The 13,212-nt window shown below is 55.3% G+C and overlaps 1 protein-coding gene across 8 annotated transcripts in view; it reads right to left on the reverse strand.

Moving 5' to 3' along the window:
- AP1B1 (adaptor related protein complex 1 subunit beta 1) overlaps nt 1-13,212 on the reverse strand; it is a 60,891-nt gene that overhangs the window by 5,836 nt on the left and 41,843 nt on the right. For 3 of the 8 annotated variants that reach the window (NM_001378564.1, NM_001378562.1, NM_001127.4), the window contains 6 exons: nt 8,770-8,868; nt 7,986-8,245; nt 7,141-7,342; nt 6,239-6,259; nt 5,475-5,618; nt 750-895 (listed from right to left, as the gene is read on the reverse strand). In NM_001378564.1, the coding sequence (NP_001365493.1) occupies nt 750-895; nt 5,475-5,618; nt 6,239-6,259; nt 7,141-7,342; nt 7,986-8,245; nt 8,770-8,868 (872 nt within the window). The remainder of the gene's footprint in view (nt 1-749; nt 896-5,474; nt 5,619-6,238; nt 6,260-7,140; nt 7,343-7,985; nt 8,246-8,769; nt 8,869-13,212) is intronic. The other 5 variants (NM_001378565.1, NM_145730.3, NM_001378563.1 and 2 more) reach the window with 3 other exon arrangements.

A 13,212-nucleotide genomic window follows, 5' to 3' on the forward strand; every position in this document is an offset into this window, starting at 1 on the left:
CGTTTCTGTCTGTAAAACACTCCTTTGGACTGTGGAGGCAAAAATAAGGGGGGCCAGGTGTGGTGGCGTGCACCTGTAGTCCCAGAGACCCAGGAGGCTGAGGCAGGAGGATTGCTTGAGCCCAAGGGTTCAAGACCAACCTGGGCAATACACTGAGGCCATCTCAAAAAAAATAAAAACTAAAAAGAAAGACGTCCTTTCCCACTCTGCCTGGTACTTTGGAGTCCATATGAAGAGGCCACTTGGGGGTAAAAATCCCACTGCTTGGCTGAGCACGGTCACTCACACCTATAATCCCAGCACTTTGGGAGGCCGAGGTGGGCGGATTGCCTGAGCTCAGGAGTTCGAGACCAGCCTGGGCAAGATGGTGAAACCCCATCTCTACTAAAAATACAAAAAATTAGCCAGGCGTGGTGGTGTGCACCTGTAGTCCCAGTTACTCGGGAGGCTGAGGCGGAAGAATTGCTTGAACCCAGGAGGTGGAGGCCGCAGTGAGCCGAGATGGCGCTGCTGCACTCCAGCCTGTGTGACAGAGTGAGACTCTGTCTCCAAAAGAAAAAACAAACAAACAAAACCCAGTGCTTCAGAGAGTTTTGGCCTGAGCGGTGGTGGGGAACATCCTTCAGAAAAGGGGCACTGCCCTCCCCTCTACAGCCCCCACCCCTGCCTGCAGTCCCCAGAACAGACTCCGAGTGGGTTCTCTCACAGGCCTCCTCTTGAGAGGTGCGCTGGCCTCAGGGAGCTCTCACCTGTTGCGGTTGAACTGGATGGCAAAGTCGGTCATGACCTGCAAGGCCTTGTTGGTCAGCTGCAGGTCCATGGAGATGGAGCCCACCTGGCGGGTGAAGGTGCCTGAGATCTCCAGCCCCTTAGCCTTCATGGCTGGGAGCCAGACCTGCAGGGAAGAGGGTGCGGAGGGGGCGGGTAGGTGCCTCTTCCTGCAGCCCAAACTCAACAGCCCACCTGAGGGTGCTTTTTCTCTCTCTCTCCTGCAGGGGCCTCCCAGATCCAGCACCCCCACCTTTACTGCTAGGGGATGAACAGGTGTGTACTGGGAACAGAACAATCCCATGTACCATCTAGGGCCACCGCCATGACAGGCTGCCTCTCGGAGCAGCTCAGGGTGGGGAGGCACTTCAGCGCTCCAGGGCTGACGTTGAGTCCTCAGAGGGCAATGGAGGGATCACTTGGGAAGTAGGGCTGAGGGAGGCCATGAGCTGGCAATGGAGGGATCACTTGGGAAGTAGGGCTGAGGGATGCCATGAGCTAAGGACAGAGCTCAGTGCCCAATGGCATCCTGGGCCTCGGCCAGAATCTGGGCCTTCCTGGCCATCACCGCCTGTCCTCCCTTGCAGGAGGCAGGGCTGGCCTTTGGCTGTAGAAACTGGTCTGACCAAGGACAGTACCTAAGAGGACCCCTCGCCTGGCAGGCCTTCTGCTGCTTGGCTGCCCTTGTCATTCAAGTCTCAGCTCAAGAACCACCTCCTCCTGGAACCCTGCCCCCAGGTTCCCTCGCCCCAGTGATGTTATGGCAGATAAATATGAGCTTGTGTCTGTCTCTCCTGTACTCAGAGAGCTCGCTGAGGGAAAGGCTCTGTTTTTCTGTCTTTACCACCTTGGCTCAGAGCCTGGTGTGAAACCAGTGTTTGGGGAGTGTTTGCTGAGCAAACAGGATGAGTTAGAGCCCTGCCATGGAAGACATCCACCAGCGGCATCCTGTGGGCTCACAAACGCCTCTCAGGCGGTTACTCTCCTGTGGACGGCTCACAGGCCCCTTGAGGTGAAAAGGCTCAGACCCCACCGACAGCTTCCGCAGCGCACTCAGTGCCAACAAAGGTCCCACTGTCTCTCAGGTTGCCAGGCCAGAAACCACAGAAACATCAGGCACCAGCCCCCCACCCCACCCTAACCCCCTTGAGACAGTCACGCAACCCAAGTCCTGTGAAGGCCACCTCTTACATCTGCCTCCAGGGCCTCCATTTCTCTCCATCTCCAGAGGTGCCACCAGCATCTAAGCTGCCACCAGATTTCCCAGGTAAGACAGCAGCTGCCAGGTGGCACCCCATTTCCACCCTCTCCCCCTTTCCACAGCAGCTGATGTTATCTTGTGAAATGCAAATCTGATCATGGCACCCTGAGAAACTCCTTCCAATCCTGCAATGGCCTCCACGGGCCTTGGCCTCCACAGCCTGGTGCCCATCTGCTCCCCAGGCTTGGCTTGCCCCTGCCCCTGGGACCTCACACTGGCTGTTCCCTCTGCTTTGAAAGCGCCTCCCCACCCCCATCCTGCTCGGTTAACCCTGAGCACGCCCCCGGACAGATCTGTGAGGACAGAAAGCACCCTGCTTTTGTTCTTGGCTGTGCCACGGCGGCTGAGAGAGTACGCAGAAGCTGGCTGAACCTGACCGGGGGGCATGGCTCTCTCATGGACAACTCTCCAGGGGCCCCCCAATCAGGCCTCCTTTCCCCTGGCCCTCTCTCAGTCGCCCAAGGCTGGGGATGCAGACCGCACTGCTCTTGGTCACTATGGGTTCATGGCATCTCACACAGGTCCCAACAGAACCATCTTCAATCTTTACTGGATGAACCAATGAACTGTCACCACCAGCAGACTCAAATGGTGAGGAACCCAAAAGTTCTTATGCACAGACAGCCTCATTCCTTAGACCAACATGGTTGGCCAATGTCTGTAACCCCACAAGCAGGGTGTGGAAATGCATGAGGAATGAACAATTCCAGGTGGCCACAGCGCTGTTAGGAAGATGTGGATACCTACTGAGTGATTCTGAAGGGATAGTGCACCCACACCCTAGAACCCTCCCATGACCAAGGCAGTGGGGAAAGTCCTGCCCGTGGCAGAAAAACTCCTCCTCCAGGCAACCTGCCCTGATGACTCTTGACTAGGAGATCCCCTCCCCTCTCCTTTCCAGCATGCTCTGTTGGATACACTCATCTGACCCTTCACGAAGACAAAGCAGGGGTAACACTGGTAAGACAAACACATGGCTGGGCGCAGTGGCTCACACCTGTAATTCCAGCACTTTGGGAGGCCGAGGCAGGTGGATCATCTGAGGTCACGAGTTCAAGACTAGCCTGGCCAACATAGTGAAATCCTGTCTTTACTAAAAATACAAATAATTAGCTAGGCATGGTGGCAGGTGCCTGTAATCCCAGCTACTTCGGGAGGCTGAGGCAGAAGAATCGCTTGAACCCCGGAGACACAGGTTGCAGTGAGCTGAGATCGCACCATTGCACTCCAGCCTGTGTGACAAGAGCAAAACTCTGTCTCAAAAAAAAAAAAAAAAAAAGATGAACACACAAGCCTAGTGCCAGCTTGCCAAAGGCCAGCTCCAGGCTTATTTTTCCTGGCAGCTCTGCAGTGCCTGGCAAGGGCTGGCACCCACAGGGTTACAGGAGTCTTTGCTGTTCTCTGTCCCTTAGTCCTGCTTTGTATGCCTGTGATATTGGGCTTCTGGTGAGTACGAGTTGGCCTCATGCCTTGGTGCAGCTAATCCAGGTAGTAAGTCAACTGCACATGCTGTACGTTATGCCGCGATTCTACGTTCCCGTGGCCCTGCTGGCCCTGACACCCCACGCATGAAGGCAGGTGCACAGGTGGTTCTCACGCTCTGTGGGGACCATCATATAGGGGTCTGGAGCAGAGGCTTTAGTGTCACTTGCTTTCACTTCCAGACTCTGTCACCAGCTATGTGACCTTAGGCAAAAGCACTAGGATTTCTCAACCACGAAATAGGAGGAAGAGCCACAAAGGGCTGCTGGGAGGAGGACGTGCTGGCGGTGGCTGTGGAATGCTGTGCTGTCCCTACAAGGAAGTGTGCGGCTACTAGTGTCCGAGTTGCTGTCTGCTGTGGGCCTCTCAGTGCCCAGACCCTGCCAGGGGCTCCAGTCACCACCACTGCAGGTGCAGCTGGCATATGGTGGGGAAAGCCAGCTCAGGGGGTGGGGAGGTGCTGGCTCATGGCTCCCTAGTCATGACAGAGCTGTCACTGCCCCTGACCGCCAACTGTATCCTGCTTTGGGGTGGGGACCTCAGAAGAGAGAGGGGAGCTCTGGCAAACACAACTTCTGATCTGAGTGTGATGAGGGGATCAGGCCTGGTTGGTCCCCTCTGGCAGCTTCCTTGACACTGACAACATGGCCCACACTGAGCTCTCCTCAGTGCCAGGCCCGCATGTCCTCACATCCCAAACTCAACTCTCCTTCCCTCAGCCCCGGCTCCTCCCTCCCAGGGAGCTCTCAAGTCTGGCCGCTGTTTCCACCCACAAGAGCCCCCGTGGTCCAGCTGCCCCAGCACTCCTCCTCCCTGCCACGGAATCCCCCGGGGCCGGTGCTTCTGCCCCACCCCTTCCCTGCAGACGCAGCCATCTTTCTCAAGTGCAAATCAGACTGGTTCATCTCTTTGCTTAAAACTTTCCAATGGCTCCGGCTGTGCCAGGATCAAGAAGAAACGCTCAGCCTGGCCCGCCAGCCTTGCCAGCTTCCTCCTTCACTGATCCCTAGTCTAGCCAGGAGTCTTGGGGGTGTGCCCTAGGTGGCATAGTGGGCATCTGTGGGCATCTTCAGGTGGCATAACATGTAGTGGGCTGGAGTCAGGGATGCTGGACATCCTACCATGGGGACAACCACCCCACAACAAGCAACTGTCCTGCATCCTTCCAGTATTTTCTGCATGGTTTCAACATATCCTGAGACTTCCAGGAACACAATTCTCAGGAAAATCGAGGGAAGCCTGTTCTTTATCTTACTCCAAACCTTACTGGGAGTCAGTGACCACTTCAGAAACAAATGGCACCACTGGCCAAACCATTCACGGGGTCCAGGCTACAAACACCCAGACTGTGGTTGCCACAGTCACAGTGACTTTGCCCTGCAGCAAACACCTGGCAACTTCATGTCTTCTGGGGTGAGCGGGCAGGCGTGCCCAGACGTTTATAACATTGATACATACACTTGTATTCTCTCCCTTTTATGTCTCCTCCATGCAGTGAAAGCATCTGAGTATTTTTGGAATGCTATGTGTAGGTAGGTTACACAGCCCACCAATTGCATTTAAGGAGAGGAATGGTGACAATGTAAAATGTCTATGATGACTAAGGGGTGCTGAGTCTGATGGCACTGAGAACTACTGCTCCCACCTGACAGGCCTCTGCTGATTCCCTCACAAAGGCCGTGGTCTCCCTTCCCTCCAGGCCTTACCACAGACTGTTCCCTTGGTCTGGAGCCCCTATCCGCTTTTGTTCAGCTACTGAGGTCCTGCGACTCCTCTGGAAAGCCTTCCTAGGTACCCACCAAGCTTGACTTAGCTCCTCTTCCTCGGTGCCCCTGTGGCCCCCAGCTTCCCTCATCACTGCTGGCCTGAGCCAATTCCACAGCCGAGGCCATTTAAAGGAGCCCACATGCCAGTCTCCATAACTTCTCTCTGCTCCCGCCAAGACAGAAGACAAGTGACTTACTGCTTTGGGGGCCACATATGATCCTGACAGGGTGCCCACGCCACTGGTCAGGTCAAAGAGGTCACTCAGGCCACTGCCGATGGGTGCTCCAAGATTGGCTGGTACTGCTGCTGTTGGAGGTGCCACGAAGTTGGTGCCCCCAATCTGGAAAGGGAGGGAAAGAGTCAGAGGTGGGCGTCAAGAGGCAAAGACATCAGGGTCTGGGAATGAGTAGAGCCACCTGGCTCTTTAGAAGACACTGGGGGCAGGGGGCAGGACAGCCTCCATATCAACTCTAAATTACAGAAACAAGACAGAGAGAGGTGGGTGGAGAAGAGAGGCTGAGCCCTCCCGTGCCCTGCAAGCCTTGAGCCTTAGGAGTAACCTCTGGGAAAGGGCTGGGGACACTCCCAAATTGACGCTCAGCCTATGGATAAAAGGAGGTCCCAAGACACACGGCTGGGTGGAGACATGCTACGCAGATGGGTGCTCTCCCTCCAGGACATCAGAGAAGGGTTGTGGGACTGAGGGCTGGCAATCCCCGCGATGACAAGGCGACGTGTCATGGGGTGGTGAGGACTGGGCAAGAATCCATGGCTATGGGGCCCAGTGGCAGCCGGATGCCAGGTGGTCAAGACAGAGGCTGCCAGGATGCTGGACCAAGGCAGGGGCTCAGCAGGTGGAGGCTGCTGTGACATCACCCGCCCCCGCCCCTTGGGATGCTGGGCCAGCGCTTTCGGGAGGAGCAAGGACGAAGGCTTGGTGACGCAAGGGTTGAACCATACCCCTTCAGGCTCATCCCCCATCTCCAAGCAGAAGCAGGCAGGTGAAGAGAACAGGCAGCCACATGCAGAGAGAAAAAGCCAGGAAGGAAGACAGAGAAACAAGAGAGAGAAGGGAAAGAGGGAGATTAGTCAACGGTAGCTCCATCCGAGAGGAGTGTGGTGTGAGGTCTGGCGAGAGGCCCAGACCCTGTCTCTATGAAAGGCACTACCCCACACCTTTACCCCAACACCTGTCCTGCACCACAGCCCTTCCTGCCTCACCCTAGCAGCACTGATCACCAGTGTCCTGCCCCCGTGCTGCCACCGTGCGGACCTGAGCCGAGCACAGCCAAATGAAGAGGTTTAGGCGCCCCCACACATGGTCCTGCCAGTTGCCTGAGGAAGCCCCAGGGAGATACCCAAGTCAGTCTCACCACTCCCCTCCCTACTGTCTTCCCACTCCCCTCTCTCCCCGGCCTCCCATGCCCTCTCAAATAGGCCTGGATGGGCTGCTATTCCCAGCTGGCGCTGCATAAGGGTAAGTGGACACAAGTCTGATTCCTCAAAGCCAGGAACACCCTAGCCTTACAGGGCAAAGGTGACTGTGATGCCAGGATCAGGGCAAGGGCTAGGATGCGCCTCCCTGCCCAGGGTCTCCTGGGACTCGAAGGTTCAACAAGGGAGTGGAATCCTGTCTGCCTCTCAGGGGCTGTGCGACCTCGGAGGGAAGGCTGCCTGGCCTCTCTAAACCTTGGTTTTCTCATCATAAGTAGGGAGCTACACAATCACCTCCAAGGGTAAATGGTAAGGACTCTATATAATGTACCTGAGGCACTCAGCTGGTGCCTGGCATGGAGGGGCATTCAGTGACTGCTCCTCTGAGGATCATTATCAACATCATCCAGAGGGGGCCCACAACATACCAGGCTGTCAAGGCCACCGCCAAGAAGGTCCACAGCTCCCATCTGCACCGAGGAGGTGGCCAGGGGTGGGCCGCTCACTGGGGGGCCGAGGTCCAGGTTGAGGAGGTCACCCAGCAGGTCGCCCTGGGCGGGGATGACATCTGGCTGCTCCCCAGGAGGTGCTCCAGTAGGGGCTGTCTCAGGGCTCTCTGCGCTCTCACTCCTGCCGGGACACAGAAGTAGGGTGGAGGCATCAGGATGTCTCAGGAAGGTCAAAGAGACCCCAGCCTCCAGGCAGAGCTGTCCCCCAGGACAGGCACTGAGTCTCCTCACTGTCCCCGACAGGGCTGTCCACACGGCCCCACTTCTTCCCCATTCCCATTCCCACAGCAGGTCCATCTTTCAGGTCCTCCGTGAGGATGAGTGAAGGGAGAGGGCCGCCTGCTTCTAGCCCTCAGCCCATGCTAAGAAGAAAACTGGATGCCAGTGCCCTAGGACGGTGCCACCAGGCCACACCAACCACCTGGGAACAACAGAGGAGGAGGCGCAGACAGGGATCTGGAATGAGACAGAACTGGTCTGAGTCCCAGCTCTGCTAGCTGTGAGATCCTGGACCAGTCCCTCAAGCTCTCCTTGTCTCTTGTTCCCACCTGAAGAATGGGGACATTTGCTCTCAGCACTGTCGTTAGGCTGGAATGAGGTCATCTAGCAAATACCTTGTGTACAATAAATAGCTGATAAAAGGTTGTCAGTTTTCCTCAGACTCAGGTCTTGCTGGGGGACAACACGCCAGGCCTGAGTGCCTGTGCTGCTAAACTGGGGAAGCAGAGTGTGAAGGCGCAGGCCGACTGGCCAGTCTCACTCACGAGGCCGTGCGAGGTGGCAGGCTCTTGTGCACGACGCCCCGGCCCCCCTCCACAAAGGCACTGGGAGGCTTATGGTAGACGGAAGCCAGCGTGCCGATGTAGCAGATAAGCTCGTCTAACAGTGTGGGCTCGATGAGGTCCGTCTCTTCAGAGATGAGTGGCTTCTCAGCCAACACCACCTCCTTGGCTGCCACCGGGTCCGTGGACAGCAGGCGCCAGTAGATGTAGCCACGGTCCCGCAGGTCTGGGTTATCTGAGTCCTTGTGGGGGTGAGGAGAAGCCCATGAAACTCAGAGTAGCCAGGTGAGAAGGGAGGAGACCTTCCTGCAGCCATGAGCCAGGTGCGGCACAGGGGTGGCCAATGGGGACAGCAGTCCTGAGTGCTCCCATGAGCCTGCCCCTATACCACCTACAGGGCCATGCCCTGGCCCCGGGCTCATTCCCCATGGTACTCTACTCCAGCCTGGCCATGCCTGTCTCTACTCCCAACCGCCCTCTGTGGCCTGCCCTTCCTGCCCCCAACACACACCCTCAGGTTTCCATGGGCCCTCCTCCTCTGTCTAGTTTGTCTCAACTTCACTACTTGACCTCACTGCACTTTGTGTTGTGTTCTAAGCACCCTGAAGGCAGGGAGCTTGGGTAACTCTGGGGCTGGAAGCCAGTCCCACCCACAAGATACCTGTCTTAGGAGCGGGCCTGGCTTCCAGGTCTAGTTCCTGGGACAAAAGTTCCCCTGCTTGAGTGAGGGCTATGCTGGGCACAGCGGGGAGGTTGGGGCACCCACCTGAGTGGCCAAACTGAGGACCTGCTGCACCAGCTCCTGGGTCTCTGTTGGCTTCTTTAGAAAGAGTTTCACAATGGCTGTCAGCAGCTGCAGCTGGACCTGCAGGGAACAGCGGTGACGAGGAGGAAGTGTGGGCCTCACATGGGGATAGAGGGAGAACAAAAAGGCTTGAAGAGGAATAGGGTGTTCAAAGTCCCTGGAAGCCAAGCATAGCTATTCTAGGTTTGGGGCTGTCACGGCACACAGGCAAAGGGCTGCCACAAGTGTTGGTGCCGCTGAGCAGCCAGACCTCGGCATCACTCACTCAGGAAGGAGCTGAATACTGGACTATTTGGCAAACCCAAGTAGGCCAGGGGCCGCTGCCCAGCCCTAGGGTTTTAGAAACCTGTTGGAGCTCTAGAATTCACAGAACTATGAGAAGCTCACATGTGTGGCTGGAGTGCTTCTTATCAGGACCATCTGTCAACAAGTGGCGACAGTCCCATGGAGGCCCAGGGGACTGGGGCAGCAGGGCCCACAGAGCCTGCCGTCAAGGACCTGTGCTTCTACCAGAGGGTTGGAACTATTCCTGGTGGCCCTCCACCGGCCCCTGCCACATGCCTGGACATACCCAAAGCTGCCCTCATCCTGGCCAACACCTCCTCACCCTTCAGATCTCATGCCAACCCCACCTCCAGACCCCCCATGCTTCTGCAGCCTCTTCCACCCCGTCACAGCGCCACCAGTTGCTGGCTATCCTGTACAGTGAGCCCCCTGTGGGCTGGAGTGATGTCTGTCTTGCTTACTGTCGTGTCACTAATTACTGCCCAATCTAGTGCCTGGTGTATAGCAGGCACTTAAGAAATACTTGCTGACTGAAGAAACATCTATGCGAGAACAAGTCTCTGCACATAATCCTTCCTTAGTCACGGTCTCATTTTTGCTAGTCCTAGGACAAGGGGGCAGCCTGATGCTCCCGGAGTCAGGGGCAGTGGGAGCCCATAGGCTGTGCCAGGGACAGGTCTGCAGCAGGAGGGCAGGAGTGGCAGTGCAGGAAGCCCAGCAGCAGCCGTGCTGACGGCATCTCTGGCACCTGCCCAGCAGGAGGGCACTTGTGCAGGGAAGGCTGACAGAGGCAGGCAGAATGGAGGGCACGTGGTCCTCCAATTCTGGGGTGAACCAGAGTCTGCAATTTGGTTACATGGGGGCCAGCAGCAGATGAGCAGTAGGCTGGCTGTTTCCAAGGCAGGAGGCAGCCCAGCATCTGGCTTCCAGACTCTAGCCCTGCCTGGGCAGCCAATGGGAAGCCGTTTACCCCCATCTGTAAAGGAGAGGTGTGGCCTACTTCAGGGATTCTTGTGAGCTTTAAAAACAGCAACTTATGGCAGCTTGCTTGGAGCTGGAGTCAGATCACACCTTATGTGAACTCCAGTTCTATCACTTCTCAGCTGACAGACCCTCGGCAAGTCATTTAGCTTCTCTGAGTCAGTTTCCTAACGTATAAAACAGTCATTACACCTCACAGCGTTAATGGAGAGTTGATGAAACCACAAATGTAAAGAAGTGGCCAGGCGTGATGGCTCACACCTGTAATCCCAGCACTTTGGGAGGCCTCGGTGGTTGGATCACCTGAGGTCAGGAGTTCGAGACCAGCCTGGCCAACATGGTGAAACCCTGTCTTTACTAAAAATACAAAAATTAGCTGGGCCTGGTGGCAGGTACCTGTAATCCCAGCTACTCGGAGGCTGAGGCAGGACAATTGCTTGAACCCGGGAGGCAGAGGTTGCAGTGAGCCGAGGTCTCGCCATTGCACTCCAGCATGGGGGACAAGGGCGAGACTTTGTCTCAAAAAAAAAAAAAAAAAGTAAAGAAGCATTGTGTATTCTGCTCACTACAGAACAGCTATCATCATCACAGTCATTATCACCACTACCATCACACAGGGACTCTTGAAAGAGTTCTTCCCAGTCCAGTCAGCCGGATGCCTGGAATTATTCATCACTGTCAGATCTGCTGTGGTTCCAGTCAGGTATGCCTCAGGCTGTATTGCCAGAGGGAGGTCTGGCCAGGTGCCCAGGGCCCTGGCTCAACAATCCGTTCCAGTTCCTCTCAACACGCTCAACACACTCAGGCCGTTAGCCTGCATATTTAGGGCAGCCTTCTGCAATAATGCCATTGCCCCTGCCATCCAGACAGGATGGGATGGCAGGACAGGGCCAGACGCTGGGCTGATATACCACCCTGGCCAAGATTTTTTTTTTTTTTTTTTTTTTTTTTTTGAGATGCAGTCTCACTCTCCTGCCCAAGCTGGAGTGCAGTGGGATGATCTCATCTCACTGCAACCTCCGCCTCCTGGGTTCAAGTGATTTTCCTGCCTCAGCCTCCCGAGCAGCTAGGATTACAGGCACACACCATCACACCTGGCTAATTTTTGTATTTTTAGATGGGTTTCACCATGTTGGCCAGGCTGGTCTCAGACTCCTGACCTAAAGTGATCCACCCACCTCGGCCTCCCAAAGTACTGGGATTACAGGCGTGAGCCCAGCTGCTGACCAAGACTTTCTAAGTCTGCTGTCCATGGCTAGAGAGGCCTAGGAGCCAAGGATGAGAAGATTCAACAAGACAATATAAAATGAGTTCCATAATTGTCAAGCCCGGTGCAGTGGTGCAGGCCCATAGTCCTAGCTATTCAGAATCCTTTGAGCCCAGGAGTTCAAGGCTAGCCTGGGCAAAACATAGTGAGATTTCGCCACTAAAACAAACAAACAAAAAACTCCAAATCGTCAAGCACTAAACAAGTATTCTTTTTTTTTGAGACAAGGTCTCGCTCTGTTGCCCAGGCTGGAGTGCAGTGGTGTGATCTTGGCTCACTGCAGCCTCAACTTCCCAGGCTCAAGCAATCCTCCCACCTAGGCCTCCCAAGTAGCTGGGACTACAGGTATGTGCCACCACACCCAGTTCATTTTTTTTTTTTTATAGAGATGAGGTCTCACTATGTTGCCCAGGTTGGTCTCGAACTCCTGGACTCAAAAGATCCTCCTGCCTCGGCCTCCCAAAGTGCTGGGTTACAGGCATGAGCTGCTGCACCCAGTTAACAAGTTTTGTTTTGTTTTTTTTCTTTTTTCTGAGATGGAGTCTCGGTCTGTTGCCCAGGCTGGAGTGCAGTGGTGTGATCTTGACTCACTGCAGCCTCAACTTCCCAGGCTCAAGCAATCCTCCCACCTAGGCCTCCCAAGTAGCTGGGACTACAGGGGTGTGCCACCACACCCAGCTAATTTTTTTTTTTTATAGAGATGAGGTCTCACTATGTTGCCCAGGTTGGTCTCGAACTCCTGGACTCAAAAGATCCTCCTGCCTCGGCCTCCCAAAGTGCTGGGGTTACAGGCGTGAGCCGCTGCACCCAGTTAACAAGTTTTGTTTTGTTTTTTTTCTTTTTTCTGAGATGGAGTCTTGGTCTGTTGCCCAGGCTGGAGTGCAGTTGTGCGATCTCGGCTTACCGCAACCTCCGCCTCCCGTGTTCAAGCGATTCTCCTGCCTCAGCCTCCTGAGTGGCTGGGATTACAGACGCACACCACCATGCCTGGCTAATTTTTGTATTTTTAGTAGAGACGGGGTTTCATTATGTTGGTCAGGCTGGTCTCAAACTCCTGCCTCAAGTGATCTGCCTGCCTTGGCCTCCCAAAATGCTAGGATTACAGGTGTAAGCCACTGTGCCTGGCCCTAACAAGTATTCTTAAAAGAGCTTTGAACTGTGTTGTGAACCAAAGATGCAAAGTGAACAGGCTACTGAATTACATCACACCCCCACTTTACAAACAAGGCCCAGCAGTCTTTGCAATAACTGCACTAGAGACAAGGAAATGGGTTTGGTGAGTTCAAGTAACTGTGCTCCAGGCCACACAACAGGGAGGAGGAGCTTGGATCTCAAACTTCAGAGCTCTGTTTCTGTTCACACCACCAGACTCTTGGCTTACCTCTCCCTGTCCAGCTTCTCTCATTCTAGCTTTTTAGCAGGCTTAGCTGCAAAAGACTGACCCTATTATAGGGGCAGAAGCACACCCCTACAGCAGCGGTTCCCAGCCTTTGTGGCACCAGGGACCAGTTTTGTGGAAGACAATTTTTCCACAGATAGGGGATGCGGGTTGGGGGATGGTTTCAGGATGAAACTGCTCCACCTCAGATCAGGCATTAGGTTCTCATAAGGAACACACAACCTAGATCCCTCTCATGTGCAGTTCATAATAGAGTTTGCGCTCCTATGAGAATCTAATGCCGCCGCTGATCTGACAGGAGGCGGAGCTGAGGCAGTAATGCTTGCTTGCCCGCCGCTCACCTCCCGCTGTGCAGCCCAGTTCCTTACAGGCCATGGTGGCCCGGGGGTTGGGGATCCCTGCACTACAGGACATCCTTGCAGTGATCCCAGGCAGGACTTGACTGCAGGAGCAGAACCCAGCATAGGCAAGC

Source organism: Homo sapiens, chromosome 22 (assembly GCF_000001405.40).
Source record: "Homo sapiens chromosome 22, GRCh38.p14 Primary Assembly".
Classification (NCBI taxonomy): domain Eukaryota; kingdom Metazoa; phylum Chordata; class Mammalia; order Primates; family Hominidae; genus Homo; species Homo sapiens.